Source organism: Homo sapiens, chromosome 14 (genome assembly GCF_000001405.40).
Source record: "Homo sapiens chromosome 14, GRCh38.p14 Primary Assembly".
Classification (NCBI taxonomy): domain Eukaryota; kingdom Metazoa; phylum Chordata; class Mammalia; order Primates; family Hominidae; genus Homo; species Homo sapiens.
Window position 1 is genome coordinate 60,056,213 of NC_000014.9, and position 20,537 is coordinate 60,076,749.

A 20,537-nucleotide genomic window follows, 5' to 3' on the forward strand; every position below is an offset into this window, starting at 1 on the left:
TTTAGGGGAGGGGCATTATTCTTCCTGCCATACCACATATGTGAGAGCTCCAGTGAAAGACCTATGAAAATTACCATATTAAAATTCATAAATTCTGTTTTAAGGTAATGCAGGCTAAATTGAAAAGACATAAAGTAACCACTTAGAACTTTGAAGATCCCAATTTTCATATAAAATTCTTTAAACATTGGTTTAATTAAGCATTTAATTTGGCATAACTCAAAATTCAACCAATAATGAATACTTTACTAAAGGGTTTGTTTGTTGGCTATTCTTTTCTATTTATCATATAGTGAACTCAGATTTTCCCCTTACAGTACTATAATGTCATCTTGAGTTATTCTAGATACATATTCTTGCCATTTAAATCAGTGCTATACATAGGAATTTAACTGTCTTTCAACTTAGTTATTCCGTATGTAAATACTTTATTAAATATTATTTTTTATCTATATATGGTTAGTAAAATAAAGGGGGTATTTCAAATCTTTATTTTAGAGAAATTTTCTTTTAGATTCAACACCAATTATTTTCAGGACTAGAACAAAATCAAGCCATTATTTCTTTTAACTAGCTGTTCAGGAGACTCAAGTACAGAAAACTTCTGAAGTTTATCAGTCAAATGTGTTTGTCTTTGTCTTAGTTGCTACTGGCCTTTCTTTTTAACAGCAAATAAGGAGGAAATAAATGAAATCTAAAGTTCTTTTAAACCAAAACATTTTGGGGGTTTAGTTTCAGAAGGAAATTTGACAGCATTCCAGATTAGTGATGGGAAGAAACTCCCATAAAGGAATTCGTTAGGGAATTTAGGACTGAGCAGCTTTAGTAAAAGGACCAATACCTTAGCATTCATTATAAAGCAGCATTCTTGGTAACACTTACTGAAGTATGAGGTTAAATAGGTAATTTTAGATAAACAGAAAAGGCCTCCATCTCTAAATAAGCTGAATCATATGTTCAGAATTCACACATATAAACAAGGTCAGTCTTAACAACAGCAGAGAAGGCATAAATTTCTAGGGGAAGCAAGAGTCCCCTTCCTAAAATATTTTTCTCCTCTATTTGCTGATTCCTGAAATTCTTACAAAAGCCCCTTAATCCTCAGCAGGTGTAAAATGTAAATACTATTTAGAGAGTTTTACTACATTCACTAAAATTGATTATTATAAGATGCTTTTCTTAACTCCCATTTTATTTACTGTTTGTTCTGAAAACTAATTAACTGCAAGTCATCTGATTAGGTAATGTGAAGAATACAAAGATTTTGAGAAATAACTTTTACCTCCCAGAAATTCTATTCACACACAAAAAAAGAAAAAGCATTACAATGGGGAAGTTTTAATTCTCATTTTCTTATTTCCATACTTACCTTGTTGAGACCCTTTGGAAAGGGCGAGTTGCCATTAAGCACTAGATTCTAGTGATGGTACAATGCAGTCTGAAAAAAAAAAAAAAAAGAACACAAGGTTCTGAGGGAGGTTAACTCCCCAAAAAGCTCTGCTGATTTTACAGGTTTTACCTAGTACCAATTCTGAGTTTAGGCAAGCAGGTAGCTCCTGACTAAAAAGAATGTTGATTGTCTACTCAGACTTGTTATAAGGATTAAGCCTATTGATCTGAGTTTTGGAGATGAGATGTTATTAACTGTTTTATTTTATTATGTAGCTTATTCCTGTTACCCACTCTCCTATGGATGGCAGATCATTTGGCCAAGTGAAAACTCCTCCCATAGAGATAACAAATGTACTTCTGCCTAGTGGATTCAGCCATTACTTGGGATCTGACGTCACTTTAACTCCTGAAGTTGAAGGTATTTTGACAATTTCAGATAGAATGTAAAAGAATCACTTAATTTGAAATAAAAATATCACTTTAATTTCTAATAGTACTTAAAATTCCTTGTTTTTAACTTACATTTCCTAAAATTGCATGTTTGCTCAAGTTTCCTATGGCCATTTTGATTTCAGAGATTATAGTTTTATTATTTTTAGTTTTATTATAGCTTTTTTTGTACTCAGCTACTAGCATGTTGTGACTAAACATTTGCTCACTTGCAATGTGAACTTTGTGATACTTGAACAATTATTTCCTGACATATCTTTTCAAAGCTTTTATTTCATTTCATGGATGTCAGAGCAAACAACTACTAAAACCAGTTCATTAGTGCATCCTGCTAAAAGTGGAAATCAGAGATGTAAAAGCATAACAGAATCCCGGGGTACAAAGGATATTCTGCAGAGATATCTCACTTTCCCCTTGAAATCATAAGAAAATATTCATGAAGCAAATACTAGAGAAGGGCTTCAAGAGGTAGAGTTTTAAAAGAGGGAGTGTATTAAAAGAACAAGCATGGAAGTGGTTTATTCTGCTATATAAATTTTAGTTCAAGTTTAGAATAAGCCTGTTCCCTAATTCCACATCTTTTCTGGTTATCATTTTGGCAAAACTGGGGGTAAGTACTCCTTCTCTGAGGGCTCACCTCTTCCAGTCCTTCTGACTTCCCATTTGTCCTCAGACCACTCTTAGACAATAAAACTGAACATCACAATAATTATAAAATGATCTAAGAGCCTCCTATAAAAAAAAGTAGACTGTTCCATGTGATTAAAGTTTTTTAAAGAAACCCACTGAAAAACAAACCAGCATAATTTACTCCATTAAGATGTTATATTTTCTCATTTTTCATACTTATATGGCATTATGACTTCCAGGTTTTAATAATAATGAAGATTGTCATGCTTTTGTCTACAACTGTCAGTAAAATTGGGCATACCAAATTGTTATTACCTCCTTAACAGAACAAAGTCATCTTCAGGAATATCATTATCTTTTTATATTTTTTTATTAGTTTAACCCTGGATTCATCTTCATAACTTCCTTCTCAGATACTAACTTCCTTCTCAGGTAAAAGCATACCTTTTTTTATTGCATTTCACTTTATTGCATTTCACAGATATTGAGTTTTTTACAAATTGTAGGTTTGTGACAACCCTGCATCAAGCAAGTCTATTGGTGCCATGTTTCCAACAACATGTGCTCACTTTGTGTCTTTATCACATTTTGGTAATTCTCTATTTCAAACTTTTTCATTATTATTATATTTGTTATGGTGATCTGTGATCAGTAATCTTTTTAAGTCAATTAATAACCCTACAATGACTTCTAAGGAAGGAAGAATCTCAGATCTCTCACTTTAAATCAAAAGCTAGAAATGATTAAGCTTAGTGAGGAAGCCATGCTGAAAGCCAAGATAGGCTAAAGGTAGGCCTCTTGTATCAAATAGATAGCCAAGTTGTGAATGCAAAGGAAAAATTCTTGAAGGAAATTAAAAATGCGACTCCAAGGAACACATGGATAAGAAATTGAAACAATCTTATTGCTGATATGGATAAAGTGGTCCGGATAGGATATCAACCAGCCACAACATTCCCTTAAGCCAAAGCCTAATCCAGAGACCCTAACTGTCTTCAAGTCTATGAAGGCTGAAAGTGGTGAGAAAGCTGCAGAAGAGAAGTTTGAAGCTAGCAAAGACTGCTTTATGAGGTTTAAGGAAAGAATCACGAACTATTATATCAGGCAACATAAAAGTGTAAGGTGAAGCAGCAAGTGCTGATGTAGAAGCTGCTGCAAGTTATCCAGAAGATCTAGCTAGGATCATTGATGAAAGTCGCTACACTAAAAAAGAGATTTTCAATGTAGATGCAACAGCCTTATATCAGAAGAAGATGCCATCTAGGACCTTCATAGCTAGAGAGGAGAAGTCAATGACTGGCTTCAAAGCTTCAAAGGACAGTCTGACTCTCTTGTTAGGGGCTAGTGCAGCTGGTGACTTTAAGTTGAATACATTGCTCAACTTAAAGAAACCATTGTTCAACCATTGTAAAACTCCTAGGGCTCTTAAGAATTATGCTAAATCTACTTTGTCTATGCTCTATCAGTCTATGCTCTATCAATGTACAAAGCTTGGATAACAGCACATCTGTTTACAGCATAGTTTACTAAGTATTTTAGCTGACTGTTGAGACCCAGTGCTGAGAAACAGATTGCTTTCCAAAGACTACTGCTCACTGACAATGCACCTAGTCACCTAATAACTCTGATGGAGAAGTACAAGGAGATGAATGTTGTTTTCATGCCTGCTAACACAACATCCATGCTGTGGCTGATGGATCAAGGAGTAACTTCAAGTATTATGATTTAAGAAATATATTTTGTAAGGCTCTAACTACCATAGACAGTGATTCCTAACCGGGCGCGATGGCTCACGCTTGTAATCCCAGCACTTTGGGAGGCTGAGGTGGGCAGATCACGAGGTCAGGAGATCGAGACCATCCTGGCTAACACGGTGAAACCCCGTCTCTACTAAAAATACAAAAAAATTAGCTGGGCATGGTGGCGGGCGCCTGTAGTCCCAGCTACTCGGGAGGCTGAGTCAAGAGAATGGCATGAACCTGGGAGGCGGAGCTTGCAGTGAACCGAGATCGCGCCACTGCTCTCCAGCCTGGGTGACAGAGCAAGACTCCATCTCAAAAAATAAAATAAAATAAAATTAGTGATTCCTCTGAGGGATATGGGCAAAGTAAATTGAAGACCTTCTGGAAAGGATTCACCATTCTAGACGCCATTAAAAACATTTGTAATTCATCAGAGGAGGTCAAAATAGCAACCCTAATGGGAGTTTGGATGACTTTGAGGGGTTCAGGACTTCAGTGAAGGAAGTAACTGCAGATGTGTGGAAACAGCAAGAGAACTAGAAGTGGAGCCTGAAGATGTGACTGAATTGCTGCAATCTCATGATCAAACTTGAATGGATGAGGAGTTGCTTCTTATGGAGGAGCAAAGAAAGTGGTTTCTTGAGATGAAATTTACTCCTGGTGAAATGCTGTGAACACTGTTGAAATGACAACAAAGGATTTAGAATATTACAAACTTAGTTGATAGAGCAGTGGCAGAGTTTGAGAGGACTGACTCCAATTTTGAAAGAACTACTGTGGGGAAAGTGCTATCAAACATCATGTTGTACACAGAAATCTTTCATGAAAGGAAGAGTTGATCTATGCAGCAAACTCCATTGTTGTCTTATGTTAAGAAATTGCCACAGCCACCCCGGCCTTCAGCAGCCACCATCCTGACTGGTCAGCAGCCAACAACACTGAGACAAGACCCTCCAACAGCAAAAAGATTACAACTCGCTGAACATTCACATGATCATTAGCATTTTTTAGCAATAAAGTATTTTTAAATTAAGGTATGTACATTGTTTTTTTAAACATAATGCTACTGCACACTTAATAGACTACACTATAGTTGTAAACATAACTTTTATATGTCCTGGGAAACCAAAAAATGTGTGTGACTCACTTTATTGCAATGGTCTGGGACCACACCCACAATATTTCAAGGTATGCCTGTTAGTTTCTTCAAGATTTGTTATGCGCTGAAAAAGTCCTACAATCTCTTTCCTATTTTTTGACTGTGCTGCCCCACCTTTTAAAAGTATAATCACTTTATCTGTACATTTATTACAGCATGCAGGTTTGGATATTTATATGTTTAAAACATTATCTAGGAAAAATCAAACTGATTCACTAGCTCACAGAAATTTAAGCCACATCAAGTGCTAAAAATACATTATAATTCTATATTTTTATTTGAAATTTTAAATTCACTTTATGAAACATGTATTGCATACATTCCGCTGAAGGACAACCAAACTATATTGCTTAATGCTTATGTTAATTAATGTTTCTCATTGTTTCATAATTTTAATTTTTCAAATTTCTAATTTCTAATTTCAGACAAAAAAAACAAGAATGCTGGGATTCTGACAAATAATCCTCGGAGCATCCATGCAGAAATAGCTTTTCGGCAACTCAGAGGGATAAGTATCTCTCCATCTCTTTTATCACATCAGAATATTGCATCTCCTACTGCACAAATATACCAGAGCAACCAAGATAAGAGAAGGTAAAGCTATTTTCTCTGTGTTTTAATATCATTTCTCATCATTAAAAAAGTACTCTCCATATTTGCTAGTCATGTATAACAGGAAATATTGTTATGTACTATTATATATTTACTCTGGGAACTAGAAAAAACTGTCAGATAGCATAAGACTTCTTAATTCCCACGTTCACCAAACCTTTCCCAAAGTCCAGTGTATTTACATAGTAATTCAAAAAGGCTGAGAAATGGCTATCAAGGTCAAATAATTCAGAGTACTAGTGCTCACTAGTGAGGGAACAATGAAATAGCTACATGGGAACTACTTTAATTGTATCCTCTACCAACTCACTCTACTCACTGAATTTGCAAAGCAGTTCACTTATACTGTAAACAGCAGATAAATTCAACTTTCTGAAACCGTGAAGGCTAAGAATTTTGTAAATTCTTCCGAATTTTCTTTAAAATTCCTACTTGCCTCCTTCTCCAGTCTGAATCTAGCCCTAGAGCCTAGCTCAAAGCCTAAGAACATTGCTAGTTCTCATTAAGAATACACTCTTCTGCTCAACACTTGACTTCTTAGATTCCCAAGTATTACCTGTCCCCCATCTTCCTGGCATCCCTGCTCCTGCTCATCTGTTAAAATGACCTACCTCAGCAGCAGATCTAGCTTAGGCTTGGCTCTTGCTGCACTGACTCCTCCTGCTTTAATCAGCCATGTCCCACTGAGTCCACAGTATTTTTTTTTTTTTTGAGACAGAGTTTCACTCTTGTTGCCCAGGTTAGAGTACAGTGGCACAATCTTGGCTCACTGCAACCTCCACCTCTTGGGTTCAAGCAATTCTCCTGCCTCAGCCTCTCGAGTAGCTGGGATTACTACGGGCATGCGCCACCATGCCCGGCCAATTTTTTTATTTTTAGTAAAGGCAGGGTTTCACCATGTTGGCCAGGCTGGTCTTGAACTCCTGACCTCAGGTGATCCACCTGCCTCAGCCTCCCAAAGTGCTCGGATTACAGGTGTGAGCCACCAATGGGATAATTTTGTCTTTTTGAAATTGCGCACATCTAAAATACAGAAATTATTTATTGCAGAATTACCTTAAGTTAGCTGATCCATTACAAAATTAAGTCACCACTATTTGACTAATTAAATCTTATTTCTTACAGAATTTTTGGGAGCAACTTTCCAAGATCAAATCGAATGTAACTGCCTAAAGAGAAATGAGCATACACCAAGAAACTCACCTGTTTAGTAGTTGTACAAAAACTAGCGGACAGTGGTCAGTTAAAAAAAAAAAAAAAAGATAATCATGTTACTTAAGTTACTGAAGCACTTCAGTTCCATATGAAGATAATCTATTACCCTTCATGAACTTGATTTAATATCACCTCTCTTAAACTTTCTTTATGGTTATCTTTAGTTATTTGTTTGAATTTCTATATCATAAAAATCATCAACTATTACATCAGACTACAATTTGAAAAGACAAAAGTGACATGAAACAAAGTCCAGAGAACTGAATGCTTAGTTCTAGTATTAGAAACATTTAGTCATGAAATGTCATTATGAAAAGTCATAGGAAGATATTGAGAAAAGATAACTTTAGGAAATAGGCATACTTTCATTTGTAGAGTATCTATTCATTTGAGATTACACAAAACTACAGCACATTTCTTACCAAACACAACTATTACTAAAGCAAGATGAGTTTTGCTAGTTGAACTACAGATTGGTTTTTAGGACTGTATTTTTTTAAAAAATACCCTCAAACCAGATCGGCCCTCAAAATTGTTTAGAGATGCAAATTGTGGGCATCAATAGTAGTTTCTAAATGTGGCTAACCGTGGGTGCAACCAGTCCTTCATGCTCTAAGAATAAAAAAAGCGTCCGATTTCAAATACAAATCATTTAATTACACCTACAGTGATACAAGTTTACAAGTAGTTTCAGGCTGAAGAGAACATGTATTCAAACTGAGTGGACACATTTAAAAATATGACCTTCAATAATTATACTTCACTGAACTTTTCTAAACTATTACATTGCATAGTACTAGGACGTATCACAGATTAATCAAATGTGGTTATGAATTTGCTTGTTACAGTTACTAAAATTGATAACCAAATTGCCAATCATATTTTGATATAAATGAGCTCCATCATTCATGAAGTATTCTATTCAAAATTTTAAAGTTATTGGCTCAACAGTACACATAGTTTCATAATATTTTATACTTTCCTTACACGAAAATAAATTATTTTAACTAAAATATGTAGACTTTATAATCTGTCTGGAAATAGTTTTAAAGGTACTTTGGAAATGATATAATTCCAATGTCTATGCAACAATTTTGTATTTTTCTTTTTAAATGCTGTATGTCTTTACTTTAATCATGTAATATTTAAAAGTTCAAACCTAATTACAGATTGATTTTGCTCTTTGTAATGTGTGGTTTTTAAACAACTATTACATTTAGGTGGAAATAGGATCTTTTGTTTAAAAACAACTATGCAGTTCTTAAGATGTCCAGAAGATGTCTTTGTTGCCCTTTAGTTTTGACAACTGCTTTCATTATAGTGTTGTGACAGTCTACTCTTCACTATTTATTACTAAATTGGCATCATCTTCTTTTTTTCTTTTATGATTATGTATAAATTAAATGCTGAATATATGTTACTTTTATAATAAAAAGTGTCTTAAAATAACAAAGTGGGAAAATAAATGTAATAGGTTTCACTGGAGAAAAATGTTCAGAATAGAAATATATAAAGCAGAAAAAACATAACTTACACTGTATTCACTTAGCATTTTGGCATATTTTCTTTTAGCCATTTTTCCTATGGACTTTTAATACATTTGAGATCTTCATGTGATTTTTATGTACACATTGTTAAATTTTGAGCTATTTATAATTCTTAAAAATTGTTAATTAAATGTCATCTGAGCCGGGCGCAGTGGCTCACATCTGTAATCCCAGCACTTTGGGAGGCCAAGGCAGGCAGATCACAAGGTCAGAAGTTCGAGACCAGCCTGGCCAATATGGTGAAACCCCATCTCTACTAAAAATACAAAAATTAGCCAGGCGTGGTGGTGTGCTCCTGTAGTCCCAGCTACTAGGGAGGCTGAGGCAGACAAATTGAGCAAGACTCCATCTCAAAAAAAAATTTTTTTTTCATCTAAATTTCTGAGTAGCTGGAATTACACCACCACGCCAGGTGCAGTGGTTCACGCCTGTAATCCCAGAACTTTAGGCGGCCAAGGTGGGCAGATCACCTGAGGTCAGGAGTTCAAGACCAGCCTGGCCAACAAGGCAAAGCCCCATCCCTACTAAAAATACAAAAATTAACTGGGAATGGTGGCGTACACCTGTAATCTCAGCTACTCAGGAGGCTAAGGCAGGAGAATCGCTTGAACCAGGGAGGCAGAGGTTGCAGTGAGCTGAGATGGCACCACTGCACTCCAGCCTGGGTGACAGAGTGAGACTCCCTCTCAAAAAAAAAAAAAAAAAAACTGTAAAAGAGAGTAAACTATTTATTCATCAAGGTATTTCACTTAGATAAAATGTATAATTTATCCAGTAAAGTTATTATGTCTTTGCTCCCAGCAAATGTCTTGATTTATTTTGCAAGCAAATGTATGATTATATAACTTGTTTTCATTAAAGACAATTCCACAAACAACCTGGTAAGCTAGAAATTAAGGCACTTTATAGATTAGAAGCCTCCAAAGCTGAACCGAATACAGGCAGTGTGAAATTAGTCTGATTTCTATATATAAAATTAACTGCGATTAATTGTCCAATACAAACTTTACTATTTACTTCCATTTTTAAAAAAATTTTTGTAGAGATGGAGTCTCACTATATTGCCCAGGCTGGTCTCAAACTCCTGGCTTCATGTAATCCTCCTGCCTCGGCTCCCGCAACGTGCTGGGATTATAGGCATGAGCCACCATGCCTGGCCATTTACTTCTAATTTTTCTAGTCTTAGATTTTTCTGACTATTGACACAAAATTAACTGATTGTGAATATATTTTTGCCTAGAATATCTAGTGTGCACTATGTATGTGTGTTTGCAGGCACTCCTGACTAGTTTACAAATAACCCTTATATTTAAGTAACATGCCATTTCACTCTTCATAAGCTATCTTACATTATGAAAAGTGTTTAATGTTTTAAAACATTAGATCTCACTCTTAGTCATGCTCTAGGCTCTTGGCTTCAATTAAATATTACTTACATAAAGGGAGGTAAGATTATTATAATATTCTATTAGTAGAAGCAAGCACTTACGGCCAAATTCCTTTGGTTATTCAGTGAAGCTAACCAAATCATTTTGGTTATGGGCTAGAAACCGGCTGGTTTTTCTGATGCCTTACTATAAAACTTAGAGCTTCTGGACCACCTGCAAGTGCTAACTATGTGTTCATTTTTCTACATTTTCCTCCCTTCTCCATTATTGAAGTATTTTTGAAGAAAAACCTACGCTGAACTGCAATTTAAATTCTCAGTTGCCTTTTAGAACTAGGTCAGTAAGAAATACCACAGCTATTTTATTAGTAATATTATTTCTGCAAGTTTTTACTTTACAAATATGTAAATTATACCATTCTACTGTTACTGTTTTTCTTTCCATTGTGAATAAAATTGTTTTGTAAACTACTCAAAAGACATTTCTCAGACTTAATTTACGCATTTTTATCTTAAGATTTTTGTTTTGGTAATGATTTTTCCTTAAAATTAAGCTAAAATGAATGATTTAATAGCAAAGACATACAATGTTGTAATATAAAAATAGAATAGCACATTCAAAGGAACTTAGAAGTAGCTTTGAAGGTATTAGTTAGCTGAAGTCAAATTATTTATCTTTTATATTTTATTAAGCACTACCTTAACTATATGCTCTTTTAGGTAAATCAAAAAGTCAGTTTATCAACATTGTCATTTTCCATATAAGATTCCAAAGATTCTGAAATGCTAAATTTTAAATTAGAACAGATTTTTTCTAATATCATTAAAAATAACAGTATTTCTATATGCTCTAAATAAAAATCCATTGAGATAACATAGTTTGTTTTTTCAAAATAGTTACATTTTGATCAAACATTAAAATAGAAAGGGATGCGAAGAATTTTTAACAAATAGCATTCTATATTTTCATTTGGTTTTTAATTTTATAATTGTAATTAACTTCTAAATGTTTAAAAATATTTTATACCAGCAGTTAATTTTAAACATTATAAATAGGAAAAGAATTAGTGATAATCTTACTATTTTTGTAAACCACAAAAATAACAATGACTATAGTTTAAATAGAAAAAAGATATGGTGATATGATTTTTGTTTGTTTCCAGTGGGGTTGGAGTGATTTAAAAGCTATAGCTTTTAATCAAGAGCTGCACGTTTTTCTTCTTGCTTATTGTAGAACATTATTTTTTCTAGAAAATGTTTTCAATAATTTTAGTGGTTTGGCTCTACTATTTGTTCCATCTTTAATTATAGCATAGCTCTTCCTCTCCCTTCCCTCTCAGAATGTTTTACAAGTGTGTCTCTCAAAGAACAACCAAAAAAGACTAATCAGTAAAATATATATATATATATATATAAAACATTTTAAAGTTTCTAATTATTTCTTATTCCCCTATCAATTTGGTTTAAAACAGGTATTTATAAACACTGGTAGCCTACTTTCCTAAGGCCTTTGATTTTATATGAAGTGCTTTAAAAGAGTTCAATCAACCTTAATGGTGCATTTTTAGTTAAGGAAATAGAATGGGGGTAAGTCAATTTGAGCTCCCAGACAAACAAGTGTCTTCAGAAAGAATCAGCCATAAATGGGTTTAGAAATCAGAGTACGAGTAAAATGCAGTGAGCAGAGCACTCAGGGAAACCAGATACAATGGAAAGAGTAAAATACTGCAGAGCTTTTTAAGGTTCATACAATTGGAACAATGGACTTGATCCAGCCATCTATGTTAAACTGTTAAAAGATAGGTGAAAAGCAAGCTGGAATTCTATAAAGAGTGTTGAGGAACAGTAGAATGAGGAGCTTTAAATCTAAAGAGAATGAATACAGTCATTCAACAGGATGGCAATGAAGTCAAAATTGGCATATTTCCCTGATTACCTTGTGAAGGACTCTGTTCTGTTTTAGGTATTAAGCCGTGATTAGCAACAAAGCAGTATTTAAACTGCCACAATTGGAGTTTTTAAACAGCATAGTATAAATATGTGAATTTTACAAACATACACATATATACATGGAAGTAGAAATACATGTAGATCTCATATAGTTGTAACAACTTAATATTCTAGTCTATAGCAATCAGTACAGTATATCAAACTTCCTGTCATTTAGGAAAAAAAAGGCTAATTTAGGTTTAGTGGCAAAGGTGCAAATGTACAAATAGATAAAATTGTTTAATTTTTTAATTAGCTGTAATCAATCAGGCTTATTTTATACATTTTGGGGAAATTGTTCTTAAATGTATTGATGTATTTTCCTGCTTTAACAAACAGAATACATTAAACAAAATTTTATTTTCAATGATTTATAGTGCTTCAGGGTCATAGTGTGCATGATTTACCATTTTAGAGAAATGCAGCTGAGGAAAAGTGTTTAGAATGTGTTTTGAACTTCTGCTATAACCTTGGCAGTTGCTTAAGGCCAAATTCCCTTATATGTACTTTTTTTGTGTGTCCCTTCAATTATTATGATGCTGAAATAACTTTGCTAGTTAGTTGAAGATTCCAATATTAATGGAGCCATTACTATATTGTTAAATTATGCTTTGAATGAAGATATGATTATATTTATGGAAACATGCTAAAGTCTATAAATGGAAACAATACAATAAAACTAAAGCCCAAACATGTGTTAATGCTAACACATTGGGCCGTTGTTAACTCACAAGAAGTATAACTATGAGAATGTCAGTCACATAATTGTCATCCTTTAACAGTTCAATTATGGGCCGGGCGCCATGGCTCAGGCCTGTAATCCCAGCACTTCAGGAGGCCAAGGCGGGCAGATCACTTGAGGAGTTCAAGACTAGCCTGGCCAACATGGCAAAACCCCATCTCTACTAAAAATACAAAAATTAGCCAGGTGTGGTGGTGGGCAGGCACCTGTCATCCCAGCTACTCAGGAGGCTGGGGCAGGAGAATAGCTTGAACTCAGGAGGTGGAGGTTGCAGTGAGCCGAGATCGAGCCACTGCACTCCAGCCTGGGCGAGACAGAGAAAGATTCCATCACCAAAAAAAAGATAAAATAAAGAATGAAAAAGTCTTCAGGAACATGTCACATAACCTCAATGAAGGAGGCCAGACATAAGAAAAACTAGAGCCAGAAATATAATCAAGTGCACTTTTTCTGAAATACAATTTGCTAGATAGCCTCCACTTGCCCTTCCAGATCTATTCTCTACCTTTCTCCTCCTGCTCTGTGACTCTAAAGACTCACCTTTAAGGACAACATCACTTAGAGTCATTTGTCCCTCTAGCTGGCAGTTGGCTGTAGCCAATCAAGACACTAGAAGTAGATCAAAGAGTAAAAGAGTGAGATTTGGGCTTTAGTAGCAGCTGCATTCTACAAGAACTACAGCTTCTATTGGGCTTTCCTAAAGTATCTGGGTTCTGGTGAACTCTCTTTCCCTTACACCTTCAGGCCTACAGGCATTGCAAGTTCAGATGCTTCACCTGCCAGGGCACGGTGGCTCACACCTGTAATCCCAGCACTTTAGGAGGCCAAGGAAGGCAGATCACTTGAGACCAGGCGTTTGAGAACGGCCTGGCAAACATGAAACCCCATCTCTACTAAAAATACAAAAATTAGCCAGGTGACAGAATGAGACTCTCTCTCAAAAAATAAAAAATAAAATGCTTCACTAATCCTGGTCTGTTTCCTTAATTCTATCCACACTTCTGAAGTGGTCCCTTCACTAAACTCCTCAATGGCCCCATTTGACTCTGCCACTTGTTTCCTGCTGATACCCTAGTACATACAACGCCTATGTGACACAAATGTATAATACTGGGGAATTATATTTTAAATTAAAATGGAAAAACTAGCAATGTAAAACTGAAATATCTAATTGTTTTCTTTTATAATCCATTAGTCTTCTGGTTTAAGCCTAGACACCTGACACCTCGTTTACAGCAAGATGTTAATGTCAGGTTAGAGTTGTGACGTGCAACATGGAAACAGACTTGAATTCTGGGAGCTATATTTTTAGTTTCATAAAAAAGCAAAGCAAAACAAAACAACTGGGATTGAGAGAGTTCTAGTTTATCGTTGCTTAGATAGCACTCCCTATACCTGGCTATGGGCCAAGAAGATTTATTCTGAACAAAGAGAAAAGTGGGATTAGAACACCGGAGGTCTTTGGTCCCATTAAGAATCATACCCCACAAATAAATAGAGATAGCTGGATCATATAACTGTGCTCTTCTCAATTGACGTTAAAAATGCCACAAATAATTTAACATTTAAACACATTTTTTTTCCTGTAACTTTCACAGAACTTCTTGGCTGTATCTTTAACCTACTAATCAAAAGAATTTCCTCAAGTTCACATTTATAGATGTTTTTAATGAACATAATTTTCTTCTGTATTCAATAAACATGTAAAGAATATTGATGACTATGGAAAACACCAAAGTAATAATTGCTGTGGTTAAGAATCATCTATGGATACTAAAATTAGTAGATGACAGTATAAACAGGGTATTTGCATGGTCTCTAAGAATTTCCCTACAAGATACTTTTTAATTACAAATAGAAAAAAATATTAACTGTGCAGTGGAAAAAACTGATAAACACCTTAACCAAGAGATCAAATTTAATATCACCAAAAAATAAGATATATCAATATCCTGATATGATGCACTGATAAGGGCACAAAATCATTCTGTAGTATTCCTGCCAAAAATACCACATGATCATGAGAATGAGAATGATCTGATCATGAGAAAATATCAGACAAACCCAAACTAAGGGACATTCCACAATATAATCGGCCAATAAGTCTGGCCAAAAGGAGTCTAAAAAGATCAAGGGCATTGCATGATAAGGACTGAGGAAGTCATATTGGAGGAATCTAAGAAACATGATAACTAAGTATAATATACAAGATCTTGGATTGGATCTTGAACCAAAAAAAGGGCATTAGTGGGAAAACTGTTGAAATTCAAATAAAGTCCATAGATTAGTTAACAGTATAACTGTTAATTGCTAAGTTTCAATCATTGCTATATAAAATGTTAACATTAGGAAAAGCTGGGTGAGGAAATCACCATATTTAAAACTTTTCTGCATGTTCAAAATTATTTCTTTAAAAACAAGAATTTAAATTTTGAAATATAAATTATTGACAATGATCCTGATTCAAGGGTTATTTTACTGGTGTAGAAGCAAAAGTATAAGGGAGTGAGCCCAACCACCATTTTATTTCACACATTCTTCACAAATTCTGGAAAGTCTTCAGAATCTTCCATATTTTATTTTGATATCACAATCTAAAAGTAATATAAATTAGTTTACTTTAAAAATATACATTCCTTTTATAAGTAAGAATTTAAACTCATTTTGAAGCCATCATATCTTGAAAATAACTAAGTGGGAATTTTTGTAAGAAAACCACTTTATTCAGGCAATTAGAATGAGTGTAACAATACGATAAAAACTGTATAATTATTAAATAAAATATGTATTATATTAGGATCATTTTTGTTCCAAATTTTTACTAGTTGAACTAAATTTTTATTAGTTGAACTAAAAATTTACAAATTAGTCCCAAAACACAAAATAAACTGTTTTATCTAGAAAGATGGTAAATTACTTAGAGATAGTCAAAAGAAGTAGAAATTGTGGAGGAGACAGCCAATTGCCTCCCGGGCCTGTTCTGTCATTCTCCCTTAGTAAAAGAACCCTGATTATTAGCTAGGAATAGTGCTTCTCTTGCAGTCAAATGTGGCCCTTTGTTTTGGCAAATGACTTATATGTGGTAGTGTGGTATGGAAACTTACTGGAAGTCTTCTTAAAAAGGAAAGGAAGAAAAATTTCCCTTCCATTCATACTGTAGCTTGGGAAAAGATTATGATGGAGGAAGTCTGGCTGGACCAGGAGGAAAAAGACCTTAAAGATGACAGCATAATAAATGGGACTGTCCCACTAGCCCATAGAACTGCCATTCTGACCCTCGAATAATTAACTTATACGGCAAGAAGTAAGTTTATATCGGTTAAACCACTGTTATTATGGTTTCTCTGTTACAAGAAGTACAACCTAATCCTAACTGATACAGGAATGTTCCCAGAAAAGAGATGTGAAGGACTTTTGTACTAAAATTATAGCAGAAAGATACAACTTAACGAGAAATGAAAAAGCAAAGAACAAAAGTAGATTTTATGGAAGAGCATAAATGGGATAATGGCAAAATGAAAGCAGCAATTGGTTCTGAATGAGTCATAAAAGAAAGTCACTGAAAGTGGTTTAATGTCAGTATAAAAAGGAGGTCATGAAAGAATAAACTCTAGAATTTGAAGCTGTTAAATACATTAAGATGAAAAAGAAATCATACTTAAATTCACCAATTATTAGCATCTTAGAGAAAATAATTGTACCTCAAAATATCTTGGCTAAAAATTATTAGCGGAGAGTATCACTCAGTGGCTTTTGTTGCAAGCAAAAGAACATTACTCTGGATATAGCTCATAGGATAGTTCACAGAACAGAAAGGCTGAAAAACCAGGCTCATAGAATGAGAACAAGCGGAGTATAGTGGTCAATACCCCAGACAGTATCATGTCACAGGATCACCTTAATTATGGTGCCAGTGCCATGCTGCTGCCACAGGCATGGGTGCCACTAGATGAGTGCAATAAGGCCTTGATGTTTCTGTTGCCATCAAAATGAATTCTAAATATTCCTGCTTCTTTGCTTCCCATGTTCTACACTGAAAGGCCCAGGAAGAAGATAGCTAAACTTAGGTTGCCCGCCACAAACTTTAGTTATTAAAGAAAAGCAGGGGGTGGCTGGAAAGATGGCCAAATAGGAACAGCTCCAGTCTGTAGCTCCCAGCAAGATCAACACAGAAGGTGGGTGATTACTGCATTTCCAACTGAGGTACCCGGCTCATCTCATTGGGACTGGTTAGACAGTGTGTGCAGCCCATGGAAGGCAAGCAGAAGCAGGTGGGGCACTGCCTCACCAGGGAAGCGCAGGGGTCAGGGAACTCCCTCCCCTAGCCAAGGGAAGCCTTGAGGGACCGTGCCTTGAGGAACACTGCATTCCAGCCCAGATACAGGCCTCTCTCACAGTCTTTGCAACCTTCAGACCAGCAGATTCCCTTGGGTGCCTACACCACCAGGGCCCTGGGTTTCAAACACAAAACTGGGAGGCCGTTTGGGCAGACACCTAGCTAGCTGCAGGAGTTATTTTTTCATACCCCAGTGGTGCCTGGAATGAGAGCGACACAGAACCGTTCACTTCCCTGAAAACGGGGCTGAAGCCAGGGAGCCAAGTGATCTAGCTCAGTGGATTCCACCCCGATGAAGCCCAGCAAGTTAAGATCCACTGGCTTGAAATTCTCGCTGCCAGCACAGCAATCTGAAGTCAACCTGGGACACTCAAGCTTGGTGGGGAGAGTGGTGTACACATTACTGAGGACTGAGTAGGTGGTTTTTCCCTCACGGTGTAAACAAAACTGTCAGAAAGTCAAAACTGCCAAAGCTCGGCAAAGCCACTGTAGCCAGACTGCCTCCTCTCTGGGCAGGGCATCTCTGAAAGAAAGGCAGCAGCCCCAGTCAGAGGCTTATAGATAAAACTCCCATCTCCCTGGGACAGAGTACCTGGGGGAAGGGGCAATGGTGGGCGCAGCTTCAGCAGACTTAAACATTCCTGCCTGCTGGCTCTGAAGAGAGCAGCAGATCTCCCAGGACAGTGCTCAAGCTCTGCTAAGGGACAGACTGCCTCCTCAAGTGGGTCCCTGACCCCTGTGCTTCCTGACTGGGAGACACTTCCCAGCAGGGGTAGACAGACACCCCATATAGGAGAGCTCTGGCTGGCATCTGGCGGGTGCCCCTCTGGGATAAAGCCTCCAGAGGAAGGAACAGGCAGCAATCTTTGCTGTTCTGCAGCCTCCGCTGGTGATACCCAGGCAAACAGGGTCTGCAGTGGACCTCCAGCAAACTCCAGCAGACCTACAGCAGAGCGGTGTGGCTGTTAGAAGGAAAACAAACAAACAGGAATAGCATCATCATCAACAAAAAGAAACTCCCTCTGAAGGTAACCAACATCAAAGACCAAAGGTAGATAAAGACCAAAGGTAAATAAATTCACAAAGATGAGGAAAAACCAGCACAAAAAGGCTGAAAATTCCCAAAACCAGAACACTTTTCCTCTAAAGGATCACAACTCCTTGCCAGCAAGGGAACAAAACTGGACAGAGAATGAGTCTGAGGAATTGATAGAAGTAGGCTTCAGAAGGTGGGTAATAACAAACTCCTCTGAGCTAAAGGAGCATATTCTAACCCAATGCAGGGAAGCTAAAAACCCTGAAAAAAGGTTAGAGGAATTGCTAACTAGAATAACCGTTTAGAGAAGAACATAAATGACCTGATGGAGCTGAAAAACACAGCACAAGAACTTTGTGAAGCATACACAAGTATCAATAGCTGAATTGTTCAAGCGGGAGAAAAGATATCAGAGATTGAAGATCAACTTATGAAATCAAGCATGAAGACAAGATTAGAGGAAAAAGAATAAAAAGGAATGAACAAAGCCTCCAAGAAATATGGGACTATGTGAAAAGACTAAACCTACATTTGACTGGTGTACATGAAAGTGATGGGGAGAATGGAACCAAGTTAGAAAACACCCTTCAGGATATTATCCAGGAGAACTTCCCCAACCTAGCAAGACAGGTCAACATTCAAATTCAGGAAATACAGAGAACACCACAAAGAAAAGCAGCCCCAAGACACATAATCTTCAGATTCACCAAGGTTGAAATGAAAGAAAAAATGTTAAGGGAAGCCAGAGAGAAAGGTCAGGTCGCCCACAAAGGGAAGCCGATCAGACTAACAGCAGATCTGTCTGCAGAAACCCTACAAGGGGTTAGGGGGGCAATATTCAACATCCTTAAAGAAAAGAATTTTCAACCCAGAATTTCAGATTCAGCCACACTAAGCTTCATAAGCAAAGGAGAAATAAAATGCTTTAGAGACAAGCAAATGCTGAGAGATTTTTTAAAATTTTTTTATTTTTATTTATTATTATTATACTTTAACTTCTAGGGTACATGTGCACAACATGCATGTTTGTTACATATGTATACATCTGCCATGTTGGTGTGCTGCACCCGTTAACTCGTCATTTACATTAGATATATCTCCTAATGTTATATCCTCCCCCTTCTCCCACCCCACAACAGGCCCCTGTGTGTGATGTTCCCCATCCTGTGTCCAAGTGTTCTCATTGTTCTTCCCACCTATGAGTCAGAACATGCGGTGTTTGGTTTTCTGTCCCTGTAATAGTTTGCTCAGAATGATGGTTTCCAGCTTCATCCATGTCCCTACAAAGGACATGAACTCATCATTTTTTATGGCTGCATAGTATTCCATGGTATATATATGCCACATTTTCTTAATCCAGTCTATCATTGATGGACATTTGGGTTGGTTCCAAGTCTTTGCTATTGTGAATTGTGCTGCAATAAACACACGTGTGCATGTGTCTTTATAGGAGCATGATTTATAATCCTTTGGGTATATACCTAGTAATGGGATGGCTTGATCAAATGGTATTTCTACTTCTAGATCCTTGAGGAATCGCCACACTGTCTTCCACAATGGTTGAACTAGTTTACAGTCCCACCAACAGTGTAAAAGTGTTCCTATTTCTCCACATTCTCTCCGGCACCTGTTGTTTCCTGACTTTTTAATGATCACCATTCTAACTGGTGTGAGATGGCATCTCATTGTGGTTTTGATTTGCATTTCTCTGATGGCCAGTGATGATGAGCATTTTTTCATGTGTCTGTTGGCTGCATAAATGTCTTCTTTTGAGAAGTGTCTGTTCATATCCTTCACCCAATTTTTGATGGAGTTGTTTGATTTTTTCTTGTAAGTTTAAGTTATTTGTAGATTCTGGATATTAGCCCTTTGTCAGATTTGTACAAATTTTCTCCCATTCTGTAGGTTGCCTGTTCACTCTGATGGTGGTTTCTTTTGCTGTGCAGAAGCTCTTCAGTTTAATTAGATCCCATTTGTCAATTTTGGCTTTTGTTGCCATTGCTTTTGGTGTTTTAGACATGAAGTCCCTGCCCATGCCTATGTCCTGAATGGTATTGCCTAGGTTTTCTTCTAGGGTTTTTATGGTTTTAGGTCTAACATTTAAGTCTTTAATCCATCTTGAATTAATTTTTGTATAAGGTGTAAGGAAGGGATCCAGTTTCAGCTTTCTACATATGGCTAGTCAGTTTTCCCAGCACCATTTATTAAATAGGGAATCCTTTCCCCATTGCTTGTTTTTGTCAGGTTTGTCAAAGATCAGATGGTTGTAGATGTGTGATATTATTTCCAGGGGCTCTGTT

At 36.3% G+C, this 20,537-nt stretch overlaps 1 protein-coding gene and 1 long non-coding RNA gene across 17 annotated transcripts in view; one reads left to right on the forward strand and one right to left on the reverse strand.

Annotated features, from left to right (window-relative positions):
• LRRC9 (leucine rich repeat containing 9) overlaps positions 1-10,605 on the forward strand; it is a 147,105-nt gene extending 136,500 nt beyond the window's left edge. For 10 of the 12 annotated variants that reach the window (NR_075071.3, NM_001355272.3, XM_024449566.2 and 7 more), the window contains 3 exons: positions 1,666-1,810; positions 5,799-5,967; positions 7,111-10,605. Coding sequence is in view for 10 of the 12 variants with exons in the window: in NM_001355272.3 (NP_001342201.1) it covers positions 1,666-1,810; positions 5,799-5,967; positions 7,111-7,150 (354 nt within the window). In the remaining 2 variants the exon portion in view is untranslated. Of the gene's footprint in view, positions 1-1,665; positions 1,811-2,848; positions 2,905-5,798; positions 5,968-7,110 lie in introns of those variants that run through there. The other 2 variants (XM_024449569.1, XR_002957549.2) reach the window with 2 other exon arrangements.
• Positions 1-20,537, reverse strand: part of PCNX4-DT (PCNX4 divergent transcript) — a 122,654-nt gene that overhangs the window by 87,120 nt on the left and 14,997 nt on the right. For 4 of the 5 annotated variants that reach the window (XR_943918.4, XR_007064199.1, XR_007064197.1 and 1 more), the window contains exon 2: positions 1,370-1,438. The exons of the other annotated variant lie outside the window; for it this stretch is intronic. This is a non-coding gene — a long non-coding RNA (PCNX4 divergent transcript). The remainder of the gene's footprint in view (positions 1-1,369; positions 1,439-20,537) is intronic. 5 annotated transcript variants of the gene reach the window in all.